Source organism: Homo sapiens, chromosome 2, assembly GCF_000001405.40.
Source record: "Homo sapiens chromosome 2, GRCh38.p14 Primary Assembly".
Taxonomy (NCBI): Eukaryota; Metazoa; Chordata; class Mammalia; order Primates; family Hominidae; genus Homo; species Homo sapiens.
The window spans coordinates 162,530,736-162,549,162 of record NC_000002.12 but is presented as its reverse complement, the minus strand read 5'-3'; the positions used below and the strand labels follow the sequence as shown (position 1 = coordinate 162,549,162).

The 18,427-nt window shown below is 35.3% G+C and overlaps 1 protein-coding gene across 7 annotated transcripts in view; it reads left to right on the top strand.

Annotated features, from left to right (window-relative positions):
• KCNH7 (potassium voltage-gated channel subfamily H member 7) overlaps positions 1-18,427 on the top strand; it is a 467,361-nt gene that overhangs the window by 289,605 nt on the left and 159,329 nt on the right. For all 7 annotated transcript variants that reach the window (XM_017005220.3, XM_017005219.3, NM_033272.4 and 4 more), the window contains exon 3: positions 12,083-12,238. In XM_017005220.3, coding sequence (XP_016860709.1) covers positions 12,083-12,238 — 156 coding nt within the window. The remainder of the gene's footprint in view (positions 1-12,082; positions 12,239-18,427) is intronic.

The window sequence follows — 18,427 nt, the reverse complement described above, 5'->3', positions numbered from 1 at the left end:
TAAATGTATGTACTGGTAAATTTTCATAAGGGATAAGACTCGGTAAAAGTTCAGAACTAGAGGCAAGGTCTAGGGAGGTAACTGTAGCTACAGGATAATAGGACCATAAATAAGGAGAATAGGGTAGACAGTCAGATGTTCAAAAGGGAAATGGTTATACCACAAGCACATTTTCCCCACTCCCCAGTTAATCAATATTGGGCCCTATCTTTCAGTACATAACTTATTGGCTACAGAACTCAAACGTACTCTTTGATATTTTCTTTATGATAATGATAACTCATACTTTTTCAGTATACAAGGCAATGTTTTATGCTTTTTACAGATACTGCTTATTTAATCATCACAGTAACTCCATAAAGTGGGTAACACTATCATATCCATTTTACACATAGGGAAATTAAGGTGTCAGAGCAGTTAAGTAACTTATTCCAAAATGAAACAATGGGAAGTAGCAGACCCAGGAATTAACTCCTGGCAATTAAAGCAGGCTTTAAGCTTAACCTCTACATTACACAGCCTCTCATGGACCCAGGGAACAAATAACCTATCACTCAGATAAATGTGTGCTGCTGGGTGAACAAATCACATCATCCTCATCCTTCATCCTTCTCTGTGGTCTCAATGTAGAAATGGACAATAGCAGTCATTACCCTGTTACTTTGAAAAGGTACTAAGCAAGGTCCTGAAGCCTAATATGTGTAAGACAAAAAAGCAACAGTAAATGTAGCCTAGGGAAATTTGAAATGAAACATCTCTCCCTCCTGCAACCACCTTTGGAAGAACACACCTGGGGCAAGAAGAGCCACTGCAAAGCAATCCCTGCCATCAGGTATCTGCTGCAGTTTCCTGCCTCTGGCAGCCTTAGGGAGCAGGGAACATCTGTAGCAGCTACCTGCTGCAAGGCCTTGTGTCCAAGCCTGGGAGAAGGGTGTTCCCCACTAAAGCTGGACAATGCTAAACATGACACTGCCAACTGGAATAAAAAGCCCTATTCTCACTAATTTTCCAGGATATCGTTTCTACCCATTTATTCTTCTGTAAAAATAGTATAGGCATAAAAGAATAAAAATAAAAATCCCAAGTTAAAATAGTCCAACAGAATATGAACTTTTGTGAGAAGAGGAGAGGGCTAAAATACCTAGGGAAAAAAATACCTTTACTTTCACCTTTTTCTGCTTCTATATCATCACTCTTGTGCCTGACATACCTAAAGAGCCTAATCTTTACCCCACTAAGGTCTCTGTATCTATTGCAGGGGACTCTTACAAGAGGTCTGAGCTACCTTCAATAATTTGTTTGTTGTCTTAAAACACGCCTTTTCCTGTGTTGGCTGCAGTAGAGAATCCTGAAGATACTTGCAGAAGTTGAACCCTGGGACAATATAGAGCTTTGTGTGACATCACCTATTAATAGGTGTAAATGAAGGCCTCCCTCTGTTATACAAAGACCTTTGCATGCATTAGACCACCTAGGTCAGAATCCTGATTCTCCTACAGACTAGCCATGTGACTTGGGGGAAATTACTTATTTTTTTCATGTCTCAAGTTCCACTTCTATAAAATGGGGATATTTAGTGGATGTACTTCCTTAGGGTTCTTTTGAGGATTACATAAGACAAAGAATGTCAAGAACACAGCATAATAACTGGCATAGAGCAATTGTTTAATAAAAGTTAGCTATTATCAAAATCAGATGTACTGGGCATGGGAGCAATAAAATTAGTCGTCTTGAGAAAGGGCCACACACCACTCACGTTGCCCTGGAGTCAGTGTTTCCACATTGCTCATGCTCTCCTTCAGCCTCAGATGCCTCTCCTCCTAATTTCTACCTATCACAATCATGTCAGGCCCAGCTTGAAACTATGATTCTGATATGGTTAGGCTTTGAATTGTAATCCCAGAGAGAGACCTGGTGGGAAGAGATTGGATTATGTGGGTGGTTTGCCCCCTGCTCCCCATGCTGGTCTCATGAGACTAAGTGAATTCTCACAAGATCTGATGGTTTTATAAATGGTAGTTTTCCTCCGCTGACACACGCGCTGTCTCACCTGCCGCCATGTAACACGTGCCTGCTTCCCCTTCCACCAAGATTGTAAGTTTCCTGAGGCCTCCCCAACCATGCAGAACTGTGAGTCAATGAAACCTCCTTTGTTTATGAATTACCCAGTCTCAGATAGTATCTTTATAGCAGGGTGAGAATGGACTAATACAGCTTCCCTCACAAAACCTTTTATATGCCTGAGCGGCATTACTTGTCCTCTCTTCAGACACTCCATCACACCCCCAGGAGTGGACTCTTTTTTTTTTAAATAAAAGATCCCTGTTTTTAGTCATGTTTGTAACTCTTACAATTTTCTGGTATAGTACTTTTTACACAGTAGTACCTAACCCATTCTTGTTAAATTTTATTAATCTACAATTTATTTTATTCATTCTAAGCTATGAATTAGGCTCACATTGTTTGTAACTCCCTGCTCCAAAGCTATAAACATAGAGCACAATGTATGGTTCCTTTCGACAGTCATACGGACATCATGGGCACACCAGGCATGTCACCATTCACAGCCTCAGTTAGAAATGACATCCACACGGGGTGGCTGTCCCCAGGATTCTCACTGCGGCTTGACCTTCACAATCGTGTGCACTTACTATGGCAGTATGCAGATTTGCTCATATTCTGAGTAAGCTCAGTCAGTTCAGTGTTGTGTTAAAGCAATTTGACCGAACAAATGGCAGTTTAGTGGGTGGGCCTGCTGTAAATACATTTGAGGTGTGATAACATAAATATGTCTGGTGAAAAATAAAATTGGACCAAATGACTAAATATTTGCTTGGGCATTAAAAAAAAAGAATTAAAAATTGTCACAAATGTGCCCAAACTTCCTGATCATAAATGTAGACTTGGTTTGCCTGGAGATTGAGTGCAGCACCGCAAATCGGCCTCAGCTTATTTTAACACTCATATTTCCCAATACACTAATTCAATCCACAAAGCTCCAAAATTAAGTAGGAACCAGAGCTGAGAAGTGGGTAAGCACCATAGGACATCTTAAGAGACTGCCTCTGATTTATGCGTCAGAAAATGTGTGAGAGTTCTTCCTGATTTAAATCACCAAATAATTTGTCCACTGTTAATCAAATATAAAACAGAGCTGAACTTTATTTTCTCAATAACCAAATTTATAAGTATGAAAAGACCCTAACACCTGAGGATAAATGTTAAGAGAGAATGTGTCAATGAAAATGGGTGGTAGTCAACAATTAATTAGAAATTCACATATATCCATATTTTGAAAAGGAAGGGGAACAACTCCTGAGGAAACACAGTCAAAAATATTTCCTTGGATATGTCAGAGTTATCTCATAAAATTTCTTGTGCAGAATATTAATAGAGTATTGAATTAGGTCTTTTATGTTATAAAACCTGATCTCTGTCAAGCAGTATGAATTGGTCCTGGGATGTGAAAAACTCTATCATATTTTATTTAGCAATAATCTTTTAACTTAGAACAAGCTTATGAGGAAATCATTGCTTCAAGATATGTAATCAAATATGACAATACTATTTTAACTAGATTCCTGAGATCTCAGACCAGAGCCAATATCAAGCAAATATATCAAATAGGTGACAGTGGCCTTTGGCATTCCCTTTCCTCTCATGGCCCAGCACTTTGTTCCCTGCAGTTCCTCCCTCTCCTTAGGTGACCTGGGTGACCTTTGATATTTACTTTCCTCCCTCTCAGAAGGGTGTCTTTGAAATAGGGAGGGAGCAGGACACAACTCAGTGTTTCCCAGTGACATTCCAAGGAGCTAGATGTTATCGCAGACTTCTCTAAAATAGGACTTCAGAGTCAAATAAACTTAGAAAATGCTGCATTGGACAAAGTATATTTACTTGTTTTTGCAAAATTTCTCAAAACCTCTATAACACTAATATGAGCTGAGCATCTCCTAGAGAAGGACATTTCCTAAATTGGGTTAATTACGGCAAGCCCTTTCCAGTAATATCTGTTAACATCTCACTCTTCGGGTAACACTAATGCAAGGGAAAGATGAATGCAGGACAGGTCTCAGTTCAAAGCTTGCTTCTGCTACTTAGTTGAGAAAATTCTCTGAGATAAGGTTTTCTCCTGAGAAACATGTGGCACATGGAAGACATTCAGAAAACAGTAGCCATGATTTAATTATATGGTTGTTAATAATTGTAGTAATAATAATATGTAGCGATCCAGGGAGCAAAGTATTCTTAAACACTTTAATTCCCTTATTTTTAAAAAGTCCTAAGCCAATGAAAGGGAGGGTAGAAGGAAAACGGTCATGAGCCAATGTAGGACTGAATAGATTAAAATGAAATGTGGGGCTGGAGACAGGCTGGACAAATAGATGGTGTCTTGCTGCCTCCCAGTTGGCAGGAGAAGGGAATTATGCCTAAGTTAGGAGTGCAGTGGGGTGGAAATGGACAAGGCTGCAAGAAAGAAGTGGGAAGAGCTGTAATTATCAAGCCATTGCTTATAAAACATAAAAAATATCTTAGAATACACCTGATTTAAAAGTCATGGAATTCAGAGTCTTGGCTTAATGAAGGAATTGGAACCCAAGCATTCTGTCCCAAAACAGAAAGGGCACAAAGTGTCCCAAGACCAAGGGACGGGAGGGACAACATGCATGGCTCACTTTACTACTGCCTAATGGGGATGATAATGGTACTATTGCCATTTTTGTGAGGATCTAAATCATATTAAAGCATGTATAGCCCTCATAACAGTGGCTGGCACACAATAAATGTTAGCTGTTGGCATTACCTTTTTTTCTAAAATGTGCTTTCAAATGCTAATCCTGGTACCTAGCCCAGTCCAGAAATAAAGATTGTTTCACACATTTCTACTGCATACCAAATTCCATGGACTATGGAGCTTGCTGAAAGAAGCTAAGTTCTGTCATATACATTACCCGGAGCACAGTGTGCTTTTTAAAGGCAGTGGGACAATCCACAGGGATAAAATAAATACAAGAAATAAACCAAGGGCCTCATCACTGCAAAGGTGAAAAGGAGGCATATTTTACCTATTACATGATAAAAGGGCCTTCCCCCTACTATGTCCTCACTCCCATTCAAAAATCTACTTGATGTACCTTCTCATCTGGACAAGAGAATTAATCTGATGAGTTCATCTCAAGCTCCTTAAGGGCTGAGTGACTCAACTGCATCATTGAATATTTGGAGAAAGTTTACTCACTTTTTTAAATTGAGAAATTGATTTTTATCATTCAAGTTGATAATACTAACACTCACTTATTGCTAACATCTTTTATGCCAGGCTCCTTGCTAACTACTTTACGTGTATTATCTGATTTGACCTTCCCCACAGTATTAAATAGGATACTCTCTCTCCTCCCTTCCTTATTTTATAGATGAGGAATCTGAGTCTTGGAAAGACTAAGTAATTTGTCCAAAGTCATTCATTCACTAAATAATAGTAGAGCCAAGTCTGTCCAATTCTAGGGGCTACACAGAGCTGCACATCCAAGAAATTTACTACTCAATATCACTGCCTTCCCCTTCTCTGAGTGTTTAAAATTGTTTTAAATAAGAAGTAATTGAAAATAAATTATTCACACTGTTGGCATCTCAGTCATTGTCAATACTGCCACACAGCAGAACATGAATATGACAACCAGGTTTGTGTTAATTAGATTAGTTCTTCATTTTTAAATGACAGGTAAATATATATAATCTCTCTTGGAAATTCTGAAAGGGTCATCCTAGTCCCATATTACCCCATCAACTACATCAACCACCTAACAATCTAAATACATTCACTATTGTTGTAATTTAATCATGTTGGTGATTGTATTTGTGTGTGTGTGTGTGTGTGCGTATGTGTGTGTGAGAGAGAGATTATGTTAAGGATGTTTCTTTAGACCTAATGTATTATCAGATACACTGCCAACTTTTTGCCAGCTCAGTTTTTTGTTTATAATGCTTCTATATACATTATTTTATTTGTTCATAAAACTTCCTCCTTTTTGTTTTCAGTAGGCTCCTTTAGTCTTAACCATGTGACTGGTAAAATGAGAGAAACGGGCAAGTATTCTACTGAAGGCCACAAGCCTCCCACATGCAAGTGGGACCCAATCCATCAGGCTAAACAGACTATACATGGCCATTCAGACTGTCTATCCCATTTATTTTTGTTAATATGATTTTGCATAAGAGTTATAGAAATCATTAAAAAGTCAGGAAACAACAGGTGCTGGAGAGGATGTGGAGAAATAGGAACAATTTTACACTGTTAGTGGGACTGTGAACTAGTTCAACCATTGTGGAAGACAGTGTGGCGATTCCTCTGGGATCTAGAACTAGAAATACCATTTGACCCAGCCATCCCATTACTGGGTATATACCCAAAGGACTATAAGTCATGCTGCTATAAAGACACATGCACACGTATGTTTATTGCGGCACTATTCACAATAGCAAAGACTTGGAACCAACCCAAATGTCCAACAATGACAGACCGGATTAAGGAAATGTGGCACATATACACCATGGAATATTGTGCAGCCATAAAAAATGATGAGTCCATGTCCTTTGTAGGGACATGGATGAAATTGGAAATCATCATTCTCAGTAAACTATCGCAAGGACAAAAAGCCAAACGCTGCATGTTCTCACTCATAGATGGGAATTGAACAGTGAGAACACATGGACACAGGAAGGGGAACATCACACTCCGGGGACTGTTGTGGGGTGGGGGGAGGGGGGAGGGATAGCATTAGGAGATATACCTAATGCTAAATGACGAGTTAATGGGTGCAGCACACCAGCATGGCACATGAATACATATGTAACTAACCTGCACATTGTGCACATGTACCCTAAAACTTAAAGTATAATAATAATAATAATAAAAAGAAGCTCATCAAAGAAAAAAAAAGAATCACAGCCACTAACAATTTAAATAAAGTTATAAAACCTAAGTAAATAGTAAAAAAAAAAAGAGAGATATAGAATAGTCTTTCTAAATGTGCTTTTGTCTCTTCAGTCAAATAAATAGACCCTATATCTTTTAAATTTATTTCTCTTCTTTAAGACATCACTAATACTAACACAGCCCATGTCTGTGTGCTCTGGACACCAAAATACAATTTCATACTTAAAACAATTTGCTATATCCCCAACTCCAAAAGACTGAATTTCAAGAACATAGAAGACCATCAAGATATGACCTCCTATCACTCAAGTCCTCCTTTTGAAATACCTCTTCTCTTAGCCTGCAACACACCACAGCCTTTTTTTCTTCAATTTTTATTTTAAGTTCAGGGGTACATGTGCAGAATGTGCAGGTTTGTTACACAGGTAAATGTGTGCCATGGTGGTTTGCTGCAGAGATCATTCTGTCTCCTAGGTATTAATCCCAGCATTCATTAGCTATTCTGCCTGATGTTCCCTTTCCCCGATCCCCCGCCTCTTACAGGCCTCAGTATGTGTTGTTCCCCCACATGTATCTATGTGTTCTCATCATTCTGCTCCCATTTATAAATGAGAACATGCAGTGTTTGGTTTTCTGTTCCTGCATTACTTTGCTGAGGATAATGGCTTCCAACTCTATTCATGTCCCTGAAAAAGACCTGATCTCATTCCTTTTTGGCTGCATAATATTCCATGGTGTATCTGTACCACATTTTCTTGATCCAGTCTATCACTGATGGGCATTTAGGCTGATTCCACATCTTTGCTATTGAACGCACCACAATCTTGATTATCTTTCTACCTCACCATCTGCTCCTACCCAATCTCTGCTAGTTCTTTATCTTCCCTTCTTTGATTCTATGGTGCCTCCAGACTCAGGTCACATAGTTTTCCAACTATATTGATTCCCTGTGTGACCTCATCCAGTCCTTATACGTAATCCATTCTCTAATTGTTCCCAAATTTGTATCCTAGCTTGGGCCAATCCCTGAACTTAACTTCAGTCTCCTGGATCCAACTACCTTCTCAACATCTCCACTTAGATATCTAATAAACAATTGCAAAGTCAACATGCTGAAAACATGTGGATTTACACAATCCCAAAAGCCACCTTCTTCCACAGTCTTCCCCATTTTAATAAATGGTTCTGCTACCAAATTTGTTGTCAACTTGGACACCTCTCATTATCTTATGTCCCATCCAATGTATCAGCAAATCCTATACGCTCTACCTCAAAACATCCCAAACAGACCCCTCATTACCACCTGCAACAACAACACCCTGGGCCAAACTGCCATCTTGGCTTACCAAGAGTATTGCAGTATTTTCCCAACTGGTCTCCCTCCTTCCATCCTGGCCTCCTCTATAAGCTATTCATCACACACACATGTGAAGGAAAGTTTTAAGTCAAATCATGCTAACCCCTGGATAAAACTCTCCAGTGCCTTCCTGTCTAACACAGTGAAAAGCTTCAGATCCATTCTTTGGCCTTCTTCCCAGTGGCTTCTGGCTTCTCCCTTGACCTTGCCTACTCTCCCCACCTTGCCCTGTCCCACAACAACCATACACAGCCCTAGTTACATTGGCTTCTATGCTATTCCTCAAAGACATAAGATGCCCTGTGAACACAAACCACACACAGTACAATAAAACGCCTTTAAAGCAGTTCAAAAGGAGGAGTCCCATCATCTTATTGTAAAATGCAACTAGGTATACGCCACCAACTTATAAAATAAAGTATACTTTTCATAATTATTCAGATTACCTTGAGTTTGCTTGCTCTATGGCTGCAGTCAAAAATCACATACTCTAAAAATTTTATTAAAATTAGCACTGTTCCTCCTAAACAGTCTTTTCCACTTTGGAAATGTTTTCACTCAGGGGAGAAAATGTGGATATGAACTGTAGTCTAGCAATATTAGTATATTTGCATGTATAATTTTATAAATAATAGCTAATATTATTGTAAATAATCTGCTTCTTAACAAACATTATTAATTTCATTTGAATACAAGATTCATTTAACAAGGTCTGAAATTTTTTTAGATTTGTTTAGAAGTCTTATTTCCACATTATTAGATGTCTATTTTTTTTTCTTCATTGCTTGGTTAGTGTTTGCTGGGTTAGGTTTCCATTGCTCTTGCTCCCAATGTTGCATTCAAGAGAAATACTTAGGAGCACAGAGTGATGACTTCTTAGGGCAATGTCACTTGACCAAAGTAGTATCTTGACAGAACTTAGTTGGAGTTTGTAGAATTATCCAAGCTAAAATATTTCTGTTCTATAAAATATATTCTATTCTTCTCTTCCTCTAAATTCCATGTATCTCCTTTCATTGTCTGCCTTCCGGGAGGCTATGCAAGATTGATGGAGATATTAAATCCCCAAACTAAAAGAGAAAAGTATGTGAATGTGAGTTTTCAGTTGACTTGAGAGGAAATATATTGCTTAATAGAAATGTACAGGAAACAATGATAGTGGGCAATAAATCCCAGATTAATTACATTTATTTAATATGCTTTAGAGCCAATGCAGATAGCTGAACTTTTATATAAAGCACTATAATTTTATGATTTTTAGTACTATGATTTTTAGTAATTCAGTAAATTACTAAATCAGAAAATTTACTGATTTAGACAGTAAATTTTCAAACACTTGTATTAGAAAACATGATTTTGCCCCTTATTACCAAAAGCAAAACTGCTCTATTACAAGCCTATTAGATCTCTATCCCCACATATTTTATTTCTTGATTTCTCAAACACTTTTTATGTTTTTTTATAGTCAACAGTACACCCCAAGTGTTGGAAAATTTGAAACTGCTTAAATAGCAAATGTGCGAATTCACAATGATATTCTAAATGATCCAGGAAATGTCATTTTAAATGGTAAAATCAATATGTATTTTGGTTCATTAGGAAAGTACATAATGACTATTTCTAGCATCTCCTCAGACTCTGTTTAACCAGTGTGTGCTGTGATGCCTGGCCTGAAGCACTTCTATTTTTAGTTCTAATAGAACAGTCTTAAATTGCTTATTTTCTGTTTACTAAAGTCATCCCGTTTGTTACCATGGAAACTATGACAAGTGCTCCAGCTAACTATTTTATTAAATGAATTGGAGACATAGCTGAAGAAGCTGAAGACTGAAGGTGCAGCTTGCCATTCCTAAGGCATATTTTCCAACATCTGTAAAACCATTGCCACATTTATAGATAATATGAAATTAGTTATAAATAAAGTTATCCACATTTCAAATTTGGGAAGCTGTCCACATTTGTATTATAACTAGCACATCTGAATTATAAGGAGCACATAGGCATTCCTAACTTACAAAAAGTCTTTCTAAAAGTATATCTGTCGATCAATTCCTTGGAAATTAGAACATATTTACCCATAGAAACAATTTTATAAATAATTGTTAGATCTCCAGGCCTACCCTCAAAATCCCTCCCCTATGAAGTCCTCGATCTGTGGCGGTCTCCATAATAGCTTTTGTTCTCAGCTCTAGCAGCAGGAGCCAAGATGCAGGATAAGAAGAAAGGAAAGAGTTTTCTTATGCTGACTTTATTAGAGCTTACATAGGTCACCATTTGGGATACTTGCATCTACTGGCCTTTGCAGATGTTAGGGCTCCCAAAAAGATCCTTCAGCTGTTTGCCCGGCCCCTGTCTCCAGCCTCCAGGGGTCCTGGCACTTGCTCACATTTCCGTCTGATGTTTCATGCCAGACTAATCTTGCTCTCAACCTCCCCCCGCCTCTGCATTGAATCATCATTCTCCTCAAGATTCAAGGTGGTCTCAGCTAGTTGTGAAAAAAAGCAGTCGAAATGGACACATTTCCTAAATCAGGGGGGTCCGATCTTTTGGTTTCCCTGGGCCACATTGGAAGAATTGTCTTGGGCCACACATAAAATACACTAATGCTAACGATAGCTGATGAGCTAAAAAAATAATAATAAGTAAATAAAATATGCTCAATGTTTTAAGAAAGTTTACAAATTTGTGTTGGGCCACATTCAAAGCCATCCTGGGCCACATGTAGCCCACAGGCCACGGGGTTGGACAAGCTTGTAAATGATTAAGAACACCTTCTGAAGTTTTGGCATTTTAAAAATACTTTATTTGTAACTTAAATAGCTGGAACAGAAACAAATTTCAAGCCTGTGAAATTTCCATTACCTTGACTAAAGAGCATATTCAGAGGGTAAAAGTGTGAGGAAACTGCTTTGAGGGAATTCTAGAAGTCAGCTGCAAGGAGTCAGTCAGCAGTCAGTTGATTTAAAAGAAGTCTACTTTTCAAGTGTATGCTCTGAATCTTGGACCTGTGGGTTTCTGTTGGAAGACGGATGGTAGTGGTTGATTGCAAACTGAGTCATACCTTTGTTTATTTCATTTCCACAGAATTCTAATGAAATATAGCTTACTAGCCCTGTAATTTTGCTTTTAGAAGAATATCGTCTTGAAGAGTACCATCTCATGAAGAAGATTACTAACACAATAATATAGACAAAACTTTGTTCTTATTTTCTAACAGAATAAAAACCAAACAAAACCATTGTAATTTGGACGTTGTGAATTTTGCACAGAAAAGAAAAGAATTACTGTAACATATATAAGATAGAGTCAATAATTTACCATTTTATGTCCAATAAATTAAAAGAGAAAAAGCACATAAGTTGCTTATTTTTAAAATCAAGATGACATGAGTTGCCTTCATTTTTTATACAGCTATATTTTATAGAGATTCAGATTTAATCAAAATTTATAAGAAAATGGTAAGAATTATTTCTAGAAAGTTAAAGAATATATCTTTTTAAAAATTAACTATTATAGGGATGGGTGTGAAAGCAAATAGAATTTGATATTTCTGTTTTTCCACAATGCAGTAACTGAATTTATTTGTAACGTTTTTCTGGAAAGACATATGTATTTTAAATGAATATGGTATGCAATAAAATATGAAGTAAAAAAGATCAAATTATTTTTTAATATCAGTGATCATTTAAGATACAAATTTCCTTAAGAGTATATTTCAATTTTAATGTTACTTGATAGTTCAGAATGAAGGCATATTTTTAACTAACATTCATTTTTAATCTCCTTAGGGTCCACTTTTATTTGTAACACTCACATAATTCCAGTGAAAAACCAAGAGGGCGTGGCTATGATGTTCATCATTAATTTTGAATATGTGACGGATAATGAAAACGCTGCCACCCCAGAGAGGGTAAACCCAATATTACCAATCAAAACTGTAAACCGTAAGTAAAAGGCAATGTGTACTCAATGCTCTTGATAATTCTGCTACTGTAGTCACTTTAATACAGTCTTCATTTCAATTCAGTTCTCAAAATATCTTTATATTTGAAGTAAAATAATTTGACATGAGTAAGCCATTAGCTCATGTTACCTTTTGGTACCTTCCAAAATTTGTTGGCTGCTCTGAAAGCCATTTAACTTGGATATAATATAATGTATTTAACCAGTCCCCTGACACCTGATGGACATTTAGGTTGTTTTCAAACTTTGTCTGTTACAAATAATGCCAGAGTAAATTCTGCTTATGTATTTTCATATGTATATTATTGGACAAATGTATCTTCAGGGTCCTTTAAGTGGGATTCCTGGGTCAAGGGTGATGCATATATAATCTTTTCAGATACTGTCAAATTCTCCTCCACATGCTTTGAACCATTTTACACTACCACCAGCCATGAATTAGCCCTTTTCCCCAAAACTATGCCAACAAAGCGTGTCAGAATCCGTTTTCTCAACTATTGTCATTATCATAAGTGAGAAGTAGTACCTCAATTAGTTTTAGTTTATATTTATTCTATGAGTAAGGTCCATATATTTAAGCACAAAGGACATTTCTTTATCAACTATCCATTTCTTTTATACATATTGGTTGTTTTTTCTCTATCTTGTCAATTTATAATGTAAGCTGCAAATAGCTTACCTAGAAAATAATGCGTCTTTTATCTTTTTCATAATTTTTGTTATTTAAAGGGTTTTTTGGTAATGTGTCTAAATTTATAACCCTTTCCTTTATTGCATCTGAATTTTTGAGACATAATTAGAAAAGCTTTCACCACTCCAAGGTTCTAAATAAATCACTTCCTTTCCCCGGAACTTGTATGATTTCATTTTTTAGGATCTCTGATGCATTGTAAGCTTATTTTGGTGTATAGTGCAGAGTATACAGTTAATTTATCTTGTTCTCAATGGCTCACTCATTGTTCTAACATTATTTATTAAAAAGTCTATCTTTTCGCCAGTAATTTAAGATGCCACCTTTATTACACACTAAACTTCCATATGTGCTTGAATCTATTCCTGGATTTTCTATTCTGTTCTGTTGATCTATCTATCGCTCAGAATCATACAGTTTATATATACAATAAATAACTAATATACCATGATCCCTTATTATTCGATATTAATTTTCAGAAGGTTGAGGTTATTTTTTGATTAATTTTCCATGTGAACTTTAGAAGCAAATTTTCTAGAGCTACAAAAAATTATTTAATATTTTTATTGGATTCACATTAATTGTATAAGTTAACTTGAAGATAATTGATGTCTCTATAATGGTGTAATTCTATTCAAAAATATAGTATGCATTTTTATTTTCTAAGTCTAATTTTCGTGTCTTTCAGGAATGTCTTAAAATTTTCCTCACTTGTTTACTTTGCTCCTTGGCATGTAACTTTTGTTGTTGCTGCTATTATAAATGGAACTTTTTTCCCATTATATTTTCTTATAAAAGTAACTTTTCTTTCTGAATACATTAATTTTACATCCAACTATCTTAGTGAATTCTTAGTTTACAGTGACTTATACATTGACTTTTATTAATTTTTCAAATATTCTATCACATAAAATAAAAATTGTTTTATATTTCCTTTCCAATCTTGTACATCTCATAGTTTTCTCTTGTCAAAATGTGCTGGCTATTACCTCCAAGGTATCATTAAAAAGAAATCAACAGTGAACACTACGCCCTGGCTCTGATTGTTGTGCGAGTGCCTTTAATTCAAACATTCCCCATTAATTGAAATAATGACATGTGAGTTGAGTTGTATGTGCTTTATTATTCTAAGAAAGTTTCCATTGACTTAAATTTTTTAATAATGGGTGCTGAAATTTGTAAAATGCCTTTTTTAGCCTCTGTGGAAATGAGTGTATTATTCTTTTCCTTTTTTAAAAATATATTTTATAAATGAAGTTATTAATATGAACCATTCTTGCATCCTTGGAAGAAGACACATTTGGACATGATATGTTTCATTTTGTAATATGTTGTTGGGTTCTCTTAACGCATATTAATTTTGCAATTTGCATCAATATCCAATAGGGAGATTGATCTATAATTTTTGCCTGCATATGTGCAATTTTCTAAGGTGTTGGTATCAATATTATAATTCCTTCAAAAAATAATTGAGAGTTTCTTCTCCTTTTTGTATGCTATTGAAGCATTTAAATAGTTTGAGGATTATCTAGACTTTAAAAGTTAGGTGTGATTCCCCTGTAAAGTCATCGAGGTACTTATTTGTGGTAATTGTTTGTGAAGTAGCTCCTTGACAAATTTATTTTTCTTCTTTAATAATGGTCTACTCAAATTATCAATCTTAACTAGTTTCAGTTTTGCTAGACATTATTTCCCTAGAAATTATTTCATGTAAATATTTAAATTTTGTTTTAATAGAATTATGCAAGGTAGTATTTTATGATTTTTTAAAAAAATCCTCAGTTCCTATAGTTTTTTCTTGAAATTTCTCATTTCTTTTATTATTGTTTTCTCCATTTAAAATTGTTGATTAATCAGTAGCTTTTTTCCCAAAGACTTAACTTTTTATTGGTTTATTAATTCTATTAGTTTTCAAACTCACAAAATTTTGCTTTTATATGCTTAATTCAGTTTTTATCAGCTTACTTTGTTGCCTCTTTTTCATTGCATCGATTTATTTTCATTCTTTCAGTTTTTTGGTATATGATTTTAAGGCTATATATTTTTATCTAAGCACTGTGTAAGCTATACCCCATGAATTTAGAAATGTAATATTATTTTTCCTAGAAAATATGCAACTTTTGTTTTCCTAGTTTTTAACTTGAGTTGTTTAATATAGTTTTTAGTTTTCCAGTAGGAAAGGTATTTTTAAAGTATTATTTTTTGTTAAAAACTTCTGGTTTTATTGTCTTACAGTCATAAAATGCTGTTTGTATTATTTCTCTTTTTGTAATTGTCTAAAATTTGCCCGTGGTTTATTATTTGATCAATTTTCATGAGTATGTCATGTGAATATGAAAAAAAAGTGATATTACAGAATATCAAGCTACAAAAGTTGATATCTACTTTTAAAACTCTGCCTTATTATTATGCTGTCTTCTATATCCTTACTTATTTCCTGTCCTCCAGATATGTCTTGGATTTAAGAAAGTGTATTAAAGTCTTCTACTGTTAGAATATTTCTTGGTATTTTTCATTCTCTCTCTTGCAATTTCTGTTTTATGAATATTGCTTCTCTTGTTTATTTCATAGATATTCATATTTCATAGGTAGCCATATATTTTGTTATTAGTATAAATTAGCATTTAGCATTACAAAGTATCTCATTTTTGTTTACTAATTTTCCCCCTAAATTCTACTGTATCTTAAATCATGACACTTGAGTCTTTTCTTTTTTCCATTTTCTTTCTGTATTTTAAAGTCATCTTTTAGTCATTTGCCTTTGTTTTGGTTGTGTCTTTTTTATACAGTGTGCTGTTTTTATGCAATGTGAAGCTTTTCTTTATTGCTTATAAGAAAATGATACTTCTACGTTAATTGATTATAACTGCAATAGGTATTTACATTTATTGACGCAACTGATGTGTTTGTTTTCTTGATACTAACATATTCTAGGTTAAATATACTTTCTTGAAGTACTTCATTATGTTATCTTTTCTTTGCCCTTTTAAAAACTGGTTTTTGTTGTTGTTTTATTCTGGTTTCGGGGTTTTTTTGGTATTTGGGAAAATTTATATTTTTTTCCAACAGTTATCTTTATAAGAAAATGTTATATACTCTCCTTAACTCTTTCCTCTTTTCCTCAGTCAGTGTATTTTGGTTCCCTATTTTGAGCAAAAATAAAATTATTACGGCAAAAACCTCAATTATTTTGCACCAACCTAATAGCTTATAATCCTTTTCTTCTGCTTCCCACCATGCAGTTTTCGTCAACAATATTCTATTTCTTAAGGCTCATCTTTGTGCTCCTGAGTATCTTTAGTCTCCTGCCATTCAGTGTGTCAGTTTAAAATAACATCACTTGACTCTCATCTGTTACCAGTAAGGTACTCAGTGAGCTTATCTATTTTCTTCTCCTCTCCCTCCCATTTTGTTGGGATATGGTATTTCTAGCTTGTCAAGTAGATAATGTGTATATACTTCTTACTTTTCTTTTGGCCTCAAATTTCTAGTGAAATGTATGCATGACTGTCTTTTTGTCAGAGATTCCCCAAACACAGCTTCTTAGGTGAAGTATATCCCCTTTGGGAAACGTGTGTGGGTAAAATATTTTCAGAGTTCTCTCGTGTTTAACATGTTTTTATATCACTTTGACATTTGAAGGACAGCCTAGGTAGATATGACATAGTATTTGGTCCATATTCTATGCCTTGTGACTCTGGTCAATATTGTTTCATTCTTTTCTTACATCAACTGTTGCCGACAAGTAGTCTGACGTCAACCTGCTTGACTATCCATTGTAAGTGACTCTGGTATCTGGGGTCTTGTGCACTTTTTAAGCCCCTTCTATTGTCTCTCCAGGAACTGGTGCTCATGTTACAGACCTGCTCTTGAGATTTCTTACTCAGTGAGAGGCCCTCTTCTGCTGAAGGTGAACTCTGTTTAATAAGTGTCCCAACACTCCAGGGAGACTTCTGTACTCCTCTTTTCTTCATTTAGTTTCACCTTGACTCTCTGTTGCAGTGTGCTTTTCTGAGCCAATTATGCTTGTATTAGCAAATTCCCCATCTACATGTAAATAAAAGTCTGTAAGTTGTCTTTCTCTAGTTACTGCATAAGCATGGTTTACGGGTACTTTTATTTGACTCCTCCTTTATTAAATCTCCAAGGTTTATATAGGGGTCCATGAGGATTTGGTAATTTAGATATCTGTCATTATCTATGGGAAGCTGGAAGCCTTATCACAAAACTTTAATATTTGAGAAAGGAAATTGTTATACTGTGTATAAATTCAGATAGAAAAATATGCGTATAATGAAAAACATGGTCCCAAAAGCCTATTTTGTAAACCTAAGTATAATACCAAATCAAACATACCTCAGCTGATAATTTTTCTTAATAGCAATTTTTCCTTAGGTATGTCTAAATGACAGTACAATATTCTTTTAAAGCAATATTGACACAAATACATTAATGTAATATGATTCTAATATGTTAAATGTTTTTCCCTGAACAATATTATACTTGGAGAAAACTCTATCAGAATTACTAATTCATCAATCTTCCAGGTGACATATTTAGAAAAAAAAATTGAGCTACCATAAAAAACTTCTTACCCCAAAGTCTTGATCCCAAAGTTGATGACTGTTTTGATTTTCTTATACTTTCCACTAACAAATGCAATCATTAATGAATGATTCCTGAGAGTACACTTCTAATGTCAACCTCTATTTGTCATGAATACCAATAAGGTAATTTGTTTGGATGGTGGATACCTAGTTTAGTTTCTTCACTGTCTTCTCAAATTCTCATATTTTCCCACGGAATAGTTGTCTTTCATGGTCCATCAAATTGGATGGAAGTGAAAAAGGGAGGGTATATCAGCAGCATGGCAGAGAAGGGGACTTTTAAAAAAGATAATGTGTCCGTTTAAAACTGAAATGTAAATGGAGAATTGAAACCTTGGTTTCCTAAATGGAAGATAGTCTTTACAGTAGCCTCCAGGATATAATACACAATTTATGCAACTTTATATTGTGATTAAAATAAAGTCCTATGTACAAGTTACAACAAATGCAGTAGAGATTCTGCTTCTTATTTTATGAACATAAGTTGTTTCCCTATGCTTTAGCTGTCACTCATACAGGGAAGCGTTGGACAGAGTAAAAATATGCAGATAAAATTATTTCCAGAGCATTACAAAGGCCCATTATTTACCACCTGTATATCGGTTTTGATTACACCCTTCTGTCATTATATGACCTAGATTTCCTCTTACTTGGTGTCAGTTTTTGAGGAATGGATTGTTAAATCAAGCAGAAAAGTTAAAGAAAGACAAATTATGCTTGATACCTTCTGATACTACTCAATTTCGACTTCATATTTTTTCTCATCTTTGGCAAACCCCTGCTGATTTTTTTTCTTTGAAGTATAATGTTCCTACCAGTGTAAAATAATGATACTGGCTATTTCAAACATTGTTGTTCCAGTGATAGCCACT